Source organism: Homo sapiens, chromosome 9 (genome assembly GCF_000001405.40).
Source record: "Homo sapiens chromosome 9, GRCh38.p14 Primary Assembly".
Classification (NCBI taxonomy): Eukaryota; Metazoa; Chordata; class Mammalia; order Primates; family Hominidae; genus Homo; species Homo sapiens.
In genome coordinates this window covers 2,535,290-2,548,480 of record NC_000009.12, presented here as the reverse complement: position 1 = coordinate 2,548,480, position 13,191 = coordinate 2,535,290, and the positions used below count along the sequence as shown (strand labels likewise).

Here is a 13,191-nt window from a genome sequence, read left to right as displayed (position 1 = left end):
ATGTGTGACAGTATATGTAATCTCTACAACAATGAAATTATACTAAGCATATAGTTTATACTAAGCATATAGAATTGAGGAGAATAGCTGAGGACATTTTAGTTCTGAAAGCAATAGTGTAGCATGATGGTTCATTTCTCAGACCTGGGTTTAAATTAAAGTCAACATCATAATCATAATCATGATGCAGATAATTTTGTATAAATGAAAATAGTTATATTTGAGTCAACAGTTCAAGCACTTCTTTGTGATATAAATGCAACACAAGTACCCATATATCCCAGCTTTGCCACTTACAAACTGCAATGCTTATGGCCTAGGTTTTCTTATTCATAAATAGGCATGATACTAGTATCTGCCCCACAGGGTTGTTGGGAGGATTATTGAGCCAATTCATATAAAGTGCCTGGTATATAGTAAATGCTCAGTAACTTTGGGCTATTATGAAACTGCGTGTGAATTTAAAAACAGTAATCTTTCTTTTAAGTAGGCTGTAAATCAGTGGTTCTAAATCAGGAGTGTTTTCTTCCACCCCACTACCTGGGGGACATTTGGCAATGTCTGGAGACATTTTTGGTTGTCCCATCAGTTGGTGATAGGAAGTTCCTACTGGCATGTACTGTGTAGAGGCTAGGGATGTGCTGAACATCCTACGGTGCAAGGGATGCACCCTCCCAACAGAGAATTATCTTGCCCGAGATATCAGTAGTTCTGAAGCTGAGAATCCCTGCTTTAAAGAAATGTGTATTTTATGTTATCATAGATGGAGGGGAATTTGCCATCAAAGTCACACAACTAGGAAGTTACCTTCCTGGTAATCAATCTACATGTTGAGAAAGATGTTAATAAATAGCCAATTCACCTCGATTTTTGTAGAAATCAAATGAAAGATTGCATTTAACTTTTGTATATTTATACATTATGTAAGTATAAGTTAGAGCTAAACCTGTTTTCTTCTGTGTTTTCTATTTCTTTTTATTATTGCCCCGTTAAGGAGACTTTTAAGACTTAAAAAAATTGCCTCCTCTTCCCATGAAATTTTATACAACAGATATAGTATATATCTGTTTATGCAGTTGGATAGGGTTAAGGATTGGAGGATTACAACCCACTGTGATAGCTAAGATATTTTTGCCCCCTAAGAACCAATTTTCATCCCTATGGGGAAATATTCTAAGTAAAAGAGGAGTGAATTCTAAAAGTGTTTTTGTTTTTTTAAGAATGATGCTTAAATTACTTATTCAATTAAAATTGGCTTAATATCTCCTGTTCTGCACTTTGAGATCATATTGAGAGAGCAATGGAAAAGTGAAAAATAATACTATTGATTTAAAACGCTATAGGCATTTAAAATGGACAGCAAAGCTCAGAGAAATGAATAGAAATTTAGTGAGTGCTGAAAATGCAAAAATAAAAACTGGTAAGGCCAGAAATAAAAGAAGTTGAAAAGGAGACAAAAGCTTTCTAGAGAGGTAGCTAATCTGAATGTAAACTTATCATAAAAGGGAACAAGGAGCTTGAGAGGATAAAGGATGGAAGGGAAATTGTACCGGATAAGGAAGCTGAAGGAAATAATATGAGCTTTTCTTTTTTGTAGGTCATAGTCACTACATTAACTATGTAGCTTGTTTCTGCATTGTTTGAAAAGGAAAGATTAAACACAACTAAATCTGCAAAGTGACAGGCATGTCACACATTGGGGAAGATTGGAAATGTATAGCCTGCAGGTTAACTACCTGGTAATCAAGCCACAAGTCTGGAAGGGATCTTTCTATTGCCTGGCCTGTGTGTATCTATTCCCTTTGTTCTTCACTCATCCCTCCCCCTTACTTATAAATCCTCAGTAAAGGCTCCTGTATAAATTTTCAGCCTCATTTCTTACCACATCAACTACACAGACACCGTACTCTTGTCAGCTCAGCCACCCAAACTTCCAGCAGTTCTTACGGGTCCCAATTCTTTACTTTTGCTTATTATCGGTACTTGATTTGGACTGCTTTCTCGGGACTTCGTTGCCTACCCTTATGCTCTGTATTCCTTTTAATTGCCTCTTCCCCACACTGACAATGAGGGGATAAGAATAAGCCTTGCTTTACAGGTGTGTTCACGGTCAGTGCTGCATGTTACGTTCCTTGAAAGTAGAAGTTTTTGTACTTGTTTTTATATCCACAAGCCTAGCCTGGCCCTGGAGCACGGTTGGTGCTTAACACATGTTCACTGAAGCAAAGGAGCTATTGTTTCCCTCCTTCTCCATGTGGCCTGTCAAGTTTATAACAATTCTCCCTTCTCTCAAAACTCAGAATTGGTGTTGGCTAGTTCTTCCTTGAACTCTTGTATCCACTCATCCCCCAGCCAGAGTTAAGTGATGGTGAACACCTGACCCATAGCTAGGCTACATTTCCATCCTTGAGACACTGAGGACAAACAAACCACAAGGTCAGTCCTTGTGGTTAAAACCAGAGCATATAAACACAGGAGCTATTATGGGGCAATCTTGTGGATTTAAGTGCGGAGAAAACCAGCCTTCCAAGATGAGACTGAAGCCACCATACAGAGAAGAACAGATAATATGGAGAGAGAATCTGAGGGATTCCCTCCTACTCCTATGTTTTGCTTGCATTTCTGCATTTGATTGCATGAGACACTCTCATATTCTTGTAATAAATTCTCTTTAGTGTCAAAGTTAGTTCAAGTTGATTTCAATGACTTGTAGCAAAAAATCTTTCACCACTATATCACACTTTCTGATTTCCCATTTCAATGAAGGATATTATACTAGACAGAAATAATATATACGGGGGAGAGATCAAACTTACTTAAAATATTAGAAACAAATTGTTTGGGAATCTTATTTGGGGAATTTGGTGGAATAATGCTGAGGGACTCTCTGCATTGTTAGGTTTGAAGCAATAGAGAATTTTCCCTTCAAGATGGAGTAGGAGCATGAAGAAAAAAATATTTCATGCTTAAAAACCATAGGCAACAGCCAACGACGGAGCAAAGCACCAAATAGTTAAACTAGGATCCATCAGAAACCTAAGCATCATTTGACCATGCTTCTTGAGCTTCAGCCCTCTTATCCAACCCACCACCAGATCCTGTGAGTTTCCCCATCTACCATTATCTTGAGTCTGTTTCCATCCACTCTAGTCTAAGTGACCTTTATTTCTCATGAGAACTCCAGCAATGGCCTTCAAGACGTAGATGGTGGACAGCTGCTCTTGCCACCAATGGTTCTCTATGCTGTGACTATAGAGCTGATCTAAAGTTCCTAACTGATCCTGTCAAAAGTTTTTCAGGTAATTTTAGTGGCTTCCTTCACTCTTCCTCATAAAGCCCCATAAAGTTCAGCCTGTGCAACCTCATCATGCACCCCACTCCACTGCTTATATATGTTCCTGATTATCAGCTTCTTTTTTTCTTGTTAGACAGGGTCTCTCTGTTGCTCAGGCTGGAGTGCAGTGGTGTGATCATGGCTCACTGCAGCCTCGACTCCCCAGAATCAAGCAATTTTCCCTCCTCAGCTTCCTCAGTAGCTGGCATGTGCCACAGGCATGTGCCACCATGCTTGGGTAATTTTTTTTTTCTTTTTTGGTAAAGATGGAGTCTCACTGTGTTGCCCAGGCTAGCCTTGAACTCTTGGGCTAAAGCAATCCGCTCACCTCAGCCTCCCGAAATGCTGAGATGATGTGTGTGAGCCACCGCACCCAGCCAACATCAACTTCTCCTCAGGCCCTTGCCTTGCCAAGCTGCCTTTGCTATGGGGCTTTTGCGCATGTTATTCCTCCTGGAACATTCTTTTCTGCCACCTTTACTCAGCTTTCCTTGGCCTCTCTGACTAGACTGATTATTCTTAGTATAGCACTGTGTACCCATCCTTTTAATCATTTGTTTTTGTAGCAGCTTTTCTCCCCACTCCCGCAGTATTTGGTTGTCTGTCTATTCTACTAGACTGTAAGCTCCACAAGGGCAGGAGCTCTCTGCTTTAGCCTATTGTTTTAGTCATAGCACCTAATAGAATGTGTAGCAGGGGATTATCAAATATTTGTTGAATAAATAAATATGCAGAAAGGTAAAAAATGTGAAAAGCAAGCAAACACACAAGGAGGAGCCTTCAACTTATATACTCTTTATCAGAGATTAGGTGTATAATTCAGTTGGTTCTAACTCATAGTTTTTCTTAGGTGCTAGGCTTGTCATCAACAGTCCTATTAATAATGCTAAAATTCCTTTAACAAATAAGGGTTTAAGGTTATCAGTAAATAAAATATAATTAGTGTTAGTAGTACTTCTAGGTCAGTCCATAAAGGCCTGTTGAATGGATGAGGTGTCCCTAAAATAGTAGTTTTAAACCCTAACATTTACTAAGTCCCTATGACCTTTGAGAAGGACTTGGAGGCTATGAAGGGAAAGAGAATTCCAATTACTAGCAATTTCCAGAGCTTCAGAGATGAAAGATGTCATCAAGACATGTTCTGAGGTCTGCAATTCTAGTAGTGAGTGTGGGATGGGCCAGAGTGATGGGAATGGAGGAGAGCCCAGGGACCATTCAAAGGAAGAAGCTGCTCATGAGCCCTGTGATATGCTGGCTAGGATAGGTCCCTTTTCCTTTTCTTCTATATATGTCCCTTTGAAGGTATGTGCACTTAAGTAGAAAATACTGTCCAAAGTAATTTACAGAATCAATGCTATTCCCATTAAACCATCATTGACATTCTTCACAGAATTAGAAAAAAACTATTTTAAAATTTATACAGAACCAAAAAAGAGCCTGTATAGCCAAGACAATCTTAAGCAAACAGAACAAAGCTGGCATTACGCTACCCAACTCCAAACTATGCTACAGGTTACAGCAACCAAAACAGCATGGTACTGGTACAAAAACAGACACATACACCAATGGAACAAGATAGAGATCTCAGAAGTAAGACTGCACATCTACGAGTATCTGATTTTTGACAAACCTGACAAAAACAAGCAATGGAGAAACGATTCCCTATTTAACAAATGGTGCTGGGAGAACTGGCTAGCCATCTGCAGAAAATTGAAACTGGACCCCTTCCTTACACCTTATACAAAAATTAATTCAAGATGGATTAAAGACTTAAATGTAGAACTCAAAACTACAAAAATCCTAGAAGAAAACCAAGGCAATACCACTCAGGACATAGGCACTGGCAAAGATTTTATGACAAAAACGCCAAAAGCAATTGCACCAAAAGCAAGTATTTGACAAATGGGATCTAATTAAACTAAACAGCTTCTGCACAGCAAAAGAAACGAGCATCAGAGTGAACAGACATCCTACAGAATGGGAGAAAATTTTTGCAGTCTATCCATCTGACAAAGAGCTAATATCCAGGGTCTACAAGAAACTTAAACAAATTTACCAGAAAAAAAACAACCCCACTAAAAAGTGGGCAAAGAGCATGAACAGACACTTCTCAAAAGAAGACATTTCTGCCACCAACAAACATATGAAAAAAGCTCAACAACACTGATCATTAGAGAAATGCAAATCAAAACCACAATGGGATGCCATCTCATGCCAGTCAGAATGACGATTATTAAGTCAAGAAACAACAGATGCTGGCGAGGTTGCAGGGAAATAGGATTGCTTTTACACTATTGATGGGAATGTAAATTTAGAAGACAGTGTGGCAATTCCTCAAAGATCTAGAACCAGAAATATCATTGACCCAGCAATCCCATTACTGGGTATATGCGCAAAGGAACATAAATCATTCTGTTATGAAGATACATGCACACTATGTTCACTGCAGCACTATTCACAGTAGCAAAGACATGGAATCAACCCAATTGCCCATCAATGATCCCATTTAATTAGATCCCATTAACCAACCCAAATGCCCATCAATGATAGACTGGATAAAGAAAACATGGTACATATGCACCATGGAATACTATGCAGCCATAAAAAGGAATGAGATCATGTCCTTTGCAGGGACATGGATGGAACTGGGAACCATCATCCTCAGCAAACTAACTCAGGAACAGAAAACCAAATACCACATTTTCTTACTTATAAGTGAGAGCTGAATGATGAGAACACATGGAGACAGGGAGGGGAACAACACACACCAGGGCCTATTGTGTATGGCAGCAGGAGGGAGAACATCAGGAAAAATAGCTACTGCATGCTGGGTTTAATGCCTAGGTGATAGGTTGATGGATGCAGCAAACCACATGGCACATGTTTACCTATGTAACAAACCTGCACACCCTGCACATGTATCCTGGAACTTAAAAAAACAACCCCCCAGAAAAATTTTAAAAAAAGAAAACACAAGTTACCCTGCTGGAGGAAGATTTTTCTTTTATCTAGACTATAAAGGTAGCCATATTTTTGCAAGAATTTCTGTATTAACATTCCATGTCAAGAGGAAGAAAAGAAAAGGAGATTCCAAGGGTAGAAGGATTAGTGCAGAAGCCCTCTGAGAGCATGGGAGGAAAGGCAGTTTGAGGAGGTGATGACACATGGATTGCTGGAGAGAAGGGTGGATGCCCTCAGGGAATGAGAAGGAAGGAAGGAGGAAGAGAGAAAACACAGGTTATTTGCCTGGGAATGAAGGACACAGACAATTCTGCTTTCAATGACCAGATTTTCTGACAAATATTCCCAGAACATAGCTCAGTAGAAATGCCAATTGCGTCAGGCAAACCTTTCTAGAGAATATCAGTTTTATTTTAGAAAGAATAGCCTGGCTGCAAAGAGAAATCTAAGATCGAGAAAACATCAAATTATGCCATGAGTTATTTTCATGAAATGAGATACTGCACAGCACTCTGAAAAAAACTTTATTGTTAAAATTCCGAGAAAGAGGAGCACTTGACATAAAAAGCACAGATCCTAAAGTCATGCTCATGACTTTAAATTTGTGTAAGCAACTTAATAACACTTGAAAATCTAACCTGTGGCAAGGCAAGGTGGCTCATGCCTGTAATCCCAGCACTTTGGGAAGCCGAGGCGGGCGGGTCACCTGAGGTCAGGAGTTCCACACCAGCCTGGCCAATGTGGGGAAACCCTGCCTCTACTAAAAAAAAATACAAAAATCAGCCAGGCCTGGTGGCAGGTGCCTGTAGTCCCAGCTACTCAGGAGGCTGAGGCAGGAGAATTGCTTGAACCCGGGAGGCAGAGGTTGCAGTGAGCTGAGATCGCATCATTGCACTCCAGCCTGGGTGACAAGAGCAAAATTCTATCTCATAAAAAGAAAAAAAAAAAGAAAGAAAAAAAGAAAATGTAACCTATTTATTTTATTTTAAAGTGAAACTGAGGATGAGGTAATTTGTGTTCCCATAACTGGATTCTTTCAGAGCATGCAGCATTCAGGGCTAAGGCGAGAAAAATCTCAAAAAGCAACTTTTATCTCTGTTTCATGGTTCCTGCCCCTGACGCCCCTGGAGTACATATTCTGGTCTTTGGAGCACTAGATTAATATTTCTTCATGTGAATATTCTTATATTTTTCTTTTGGGCATACTCTATAAACTTAATTGAACAATGTTATTTCTATAGAAGTTTTTGTAAAATTACTTTTGCCATTCTTAATTTTACTCCGAAAGTGATTGCCTTTGTATATCACAGTTCACATAAGAAAATTAAAGTTAGTGAAAAAAAATCAACAAAAAAGATTGCCTGAAATTAAACTCAGTGTTCTTTCTGAAGAGTTTTACAAATACCCTCCATGCAGTAAGAAGCACAGGAATTCTGATGAGAACGCATTTTTCAAGAATTCATCTTCACCTTCCCTTTCACTCGGAAGGTGGCCTCTTATTGTGGCTGTTGGATGTAACCAGTGAACCGAATACTTGAAACCAATTTGCTGGTTTGAGAAGAGGTTATTGATTCTCACAGCATGTATATACTTGGAAAATTTCATTGTTTAACTCTACATGTGGATGATTCTTGCCTCACACTACTTTAAGTCAGGCAGACTGGGTGAGGCATATGAGCTCCCTTTGCTTTATTGAAGTCTTCAGAGAAGACTGCAAACTTAAAAAAATTAAAAAAAAAATGTTTAACAGGTCTGCATGTTGCCTTGAATAAAAAGTACTATATGTGCTTCTTGGAAAAAGTCTGCTTAGGTGATTTTTTTTTTTAAGCATGTGCTTTATTTTGAGGGAGGATGTTAGGAGCGAAATGTCTGTGTATTTTGTACAGAATTCAGAAGACAAAGGCTGTAATTGATAAAACACCAAATCTTGGGCGTTTATATTCTTGTTTACTAAATAATACAAGTTCAACTGAATAATTAAGGTGTAACTCTTTGGATGGGTGAAGATGAACAAAATCTCAGCTCATCTGAGGTCAACATTTCTTCTAGGGACTGTTGAAGAATATAGGTCAGGTGATGAAGCCATGTGTTGCTGTTTCCCTTCAGATGCTGGAAATATGGGCCCCACCCCACTTCAACCCCTTACTTCCCCAGTTTTTCTCTAGGAATATTATTATTGGCCCAGGGGAGGGTCATTTCAGCAGAAAGTCTGCCATTTTGAAGCAATTGGAGCAATTTATTAGCAAGAGGAAGTGATTTATTTTTCTTAATCACCATTCATAAGATGATCATTACGAACAAGGTTGCTGATAAATCCTTGGCCACTGGAGAGGACTTTAATTTGTGACAAGGAAAGTTTCTTAGTACTTAATGGAGAGAGAGTTTTCTGCCCTTGCCTGTGCAGGTTCATGGTGAGAGATAGGCCCTATGGGTATTTATCAACCTGAACTGGGGGTCTTCTTAATATAGAGAGTTATGTTTTAGAAATGAAACTCCTTGGGGTCTTGTTTGGGGGGAGTAATTAGGGAAGAAAAGAACCAAGTTAATATTTTTTTTTTCTCAAACATCCTGATCTTTGGCATTTATCTTTTTTTTTTTTTTTTTTTTTAACTGACAAGTTACTTCTCTTTCAGGCTCCAAGCTTGATATAGAAGACTATCATATGAACCAGAAAGGGTAACTGAAACCAAAGAAATGACTCCAGTATCAAGCTAAAGACATGCCTTAAAGGATGAGGAGGAGCAGAAATCTTACCAGCAAGGCAAGAAAGAAGCCGTACGTGAACAGGTGGTAGTATGAGCAATACTTAATTCCCTGTTGTGATTATTAGCAAGTGAAGCTTGTGAAGTGCATAGCCCCGACTAAAGAATCTTCTGTTATAATTTTTCAAAGACTGTACAGTAGGTACACCAGCCATACAAATACTAGAAATCAAGTGTTATTTCTAAAGTATCATGCACTTTGGTGATTAGCAGCTTGGGGAGCCATCAGCTGAATTTCTTGAAGAAACTTGCAGGGAGTCGGCCATAACTCTAAGGGTGAGGCAGCTTTCAAGAAGTGTGATTCATCTTCTTTAAGTATTAGGGTCACCTAGTGCCACTGCAGCCCAGCCTACAGCAGGTCACCTGGAACTGAAATTCTGAGACGTAAGAACTAGGAGGAAAAATGTCCTCCCTTGTTCAAGGGATGAAGTCAATTTAAAGGGATGAGGAGAATACTGGCAGAATATTTTAAATATATTAAAATATATTAACTGATTTTCCTCTTCTGGCAGCTCCTGTTGCCTCTGCATCCTCCCCCAAACCCATTTAGGTATCATTTGTTCTATCAGGAAAAAAAGAAGTTTCACCAGAGAGCAGGAAAAAAAGGCTTTTGATTTTCCAAAGTCAAGACCCTGAGGGAACTTGTCATAGAGACACTAAGCTGAATTGATGCAAGGCTTCCCACCCCTTGTAGGACCTGAAGTTTTCCAGGCATGCTGTGAGGACAGTGCTAGAGCTAGGGGAGGAAAGGGAACTGTTAGATGCTGTGGGGAGGTGGGGAGGAGGGAAGGGAAGGTGGAGGCGGAAGGGGAAGCAGAGACAGCTCTTAGATGCTGGTGGCTCCCCTCTCCTCTGAGAAAAAGACTTTCTACCCTGCTCCTTAGAGGAAAAGGTTGTGGATGACAGAACTGAAGATGGATTGGGGTTGTCATCACCTCCAAGTAGCGCTCAAGAAGACTGCAAAACCCCAGAACAGAAATGGCTGAGTGGTATCCAGGGGACAGATGCTCTGAGCCAGCCTCAAAGAACTGAGTGTACCCCAGCACAGCCCACAAGTGTTAGAATGAGTCTTCTGTGCTCAAAAGTCCCACCAGAATAGTAATGAAGGACCCACAGAGCTTCCTGGTGCCCCTGTGGCCTGAGCAGTGCAATAAAGTTTCCTGTGCCAACAAGGGGCTTGGCAACAGTTGAGAGAAAATGTGCCATGTCTGAAGGAGTCTCATGCTGGGGAACAGCTCAGTGGTGAAGACCCACCAGGAATAAGGTCATATCAGCCAAGGCTGGTGCTGAGATAGCATCACACGGGGAAAGAGATAATTCCCTCCACCCATTGCTCTGGTACAATGTAAGACCCCTGGAACTCAGTGAAAGGGGTGGAGGTGCAGAACTGAGGGAAATTAGGTTCTAACACTGAAGATAGGCTCAAAATAGTTAAGTGGTTACAGAAAAATAAAGTTTCACTTCTTGTACAATTGAATTTGTTGATTGAGTCCTGAACCCAAAGTAAAACCAGTCATTCAATCAATAAGTTAATTAAAAGATCAGTCATACCTGACAAAACTATTTAGCTCCTCCTTTCTGGAATTTAGCAGGATTGTAACACAATTCGCAATCAAGATTTGTCTTACAGCCTAACACAAATCTTGACTATTGCTATGTAGTTAGTCTATGTGCAGCCTCAGGTTCGTGGGTGTAGCTCAGTCTGCATTGCTTAGTTAAGTGCTGACCACGTGGCTGGCACTCTCCTAGGAACTTTCACCATTTTCCCTCATTTAATCCTTTAAACAGTGTCTGTGAGACCAGATATTATTCCCATTTTACTGAAAAGTAAACAAAGGCTCCACAAAGTGAAATCTGAGAGAATTCTAATAATTATCAAACATTTCCTTTGTGAAAGTTGGTTCCACATTGTGGTGGGTAATGCCCAGTGCTTCCTTCCTTCTTTTCCAACAGTCTCTTCTTTTCCTGTGCATTCTTTGCAGGTCCTGTCCCACCTCTGTGCCTTTGCTCCAAAGCCCCTACTTCAGATACTGCTCCTCTTCCTGTCCTTTTGACATCTTCCCCAGTTTCTAAGGCGCAATTTCAATTTTGTCTGTTCCCTGACACTTTTCCAAACCTCTCAGCTATTATTATCTTATCCATCCTCATGCTCCTTTAGCACCTCACAAGTCCATGATAGGCCTTTATCAAGTCAGCTTTGTATTGCAGGTTTTTGGTCATGGTATTGTCAGCTGCTAATTTGTAAACCCCAGAAGAGCTCCATCTTGTGCAGCCCCAGCACCTACAATGAATTTAGCATCCTAGGCTGGCAGGTATCTTGGCACCTGTTACGTAATAAAGCCTTAACACATGTTTGTCAAACTAAATTAACTTAAAATTCTAAAACACATAGTTAGTGAAACATGAGACAGATGCTTGCAAGAATGTTTAATTGGCAATGTCTTTGAATTCCTCACAATTTTCTTCTTTATCCCTAACTTATTTCAATGTTTTTCAAACATACAAAACAGTTTAAAAAATCATTCATTGAACACCCATGTAATGACCACCTAGCTTCTATAATATGCCCTTTATTATATTTATGTTATCATATCTGTCCATCTACTCATCCTGCTATCCATCCATCAATACATATTATTTTTTCCCCACTGCCTTTCAAATACATCCAACGCTTGAGAGACCTTTGACTTTGGAATCAGATCTGAGATTAATTCCTGGATTCAGCACTTACTTGTTCTGTGACCTTGGGGGTGTTGCCTAACTTGAGTCTGTTTTTTCTTTGTAAAATGGGGGTGAACAATGATGTCTACATCGGTTGTGGTGAGGAATAAATGAGACTGTATATAAAGGGCCTGACACATAGTGTTTGTTCAATACATGGTAGCAAAAGTAAAAGAACAGCATAAGTATTTATTTCAGCCATCAGCACTGATTTGCAATGATTTGTGCTTTTGGTATTCTTGCTTCCAGCCTCTGCTTTAGGCCCAGAAGGAAAAGAAGCTTACAGGAGACAATCAGTCTTACACTCTTCCATGGTCACAAACAAGAGGTCCCTGGATCTACAGGTGAGCAAGAGGTGATCTGGGCTTTGGAGTAGGTACTGCATTCTGAATTCCCTGGCACAATTAAAAGGCAATAGAGCTAACAGTAGAATCACCAATTATCTACTTTACCCGGGCAACGTGGGGGATCTTAATGTCTATCTAAAATTCAGAAGAACTTTTGCTAAAAATGGAGATGATTAGGAGAGGATATCAGAGCTCTGCCATAGCCATAAACTTGCCTTCTGAGCCCTTTGGTGCAGGGATTTGAATTTTTTCCAAGTAGAAGCCCTCATTAGTAGCACCCTCCACTCTAAAGCTGTAGGATATCCCCAATTCATGAAACTATTTCTTAATTATGCTGTAGGTCATCTTGCCCCTGAAATGGCCCTGGAAAGCTATGGCTGAAGAATGGAGGAAAAGATGACTTTCTCTGTTTCTTCAGACCAGGCATCAACTGGGATGTTGGGATGTTGATAAAAGGACATCTCATCCTTTGTTTTCTGCCTATGCTTTCACCATACCCATTCCCATGTCTGGTCATCACAGCATCCTTCACAGCCCTTAGCTGAATCATGTTGAGTACAGGATGGTGTGAATATCATGGTTTGAATGCAACCATGGTCTGTCAGTGTGGCTTGTTTTTTGCAGCCCACTTAGACTTAAGCCCTCTTAATTTCAAAATTACGTTCATATGTGCCAATAAAGTTGTCCCTACATGAACTGAAAAATGCCTGATTTCCTTATCTTCCTGAGGGTTTGCAACTTAGATGACATGTCACATTAATCTGTGGAACTTTTTGAAAGGCATAAATGTCTGCTTCTTTGAAAGCCTCACCCTTCATTCCAAGAGTCAGAGTGAGTGGGTCTTATGTAATCCCGCTGCAGTCTACATTTTAAGTATCTCTACAAATTATTTTTTCTCACAGCCATGGCTAAGAACTGTCTCTTTACCATAAAGCTGTATAGCTCTTCTTTAAAACAGTGAGAGATGAAGTGTGTCTTCTTTTGAGATGCAAAATCTTGGTTGACCTTTTCATTTTTGTTTTGTTTTCTATTAGTTGATGACCATAAAATGGAAAATTAGTTGAAA

At 39.9% G+C, this 13,191-nt stretch overlaps 1 long non-coding RNA gene across 1 annotated transcript in view; it reads left to right on the top strand.

Moving 5' to 3' along the window:
- The window catches only part of VLDLR-AS1 (VLDLR antisense RNA 1), an 86,722-nt gene extending 73,893 nt beyond the window's left edge, over positions 1-12,829 (top strand). Inside the window, exons 2-4 of the long non-coding RNA NR_015375.2 lie at positions 8,929-9,082; positions 12,028-12,122; positions 12,466-12,829. This is a non-coding gene — a long non-coding RNA (VLDLR antisense RNA 1). The remainder of the gene's footprint in view (positions 1-8,928; positions 9,083-12,027; positions 12,123-12,465) is intronic.
- Positions 12,830-13,191: the final 362 nt, after the last annotated feature.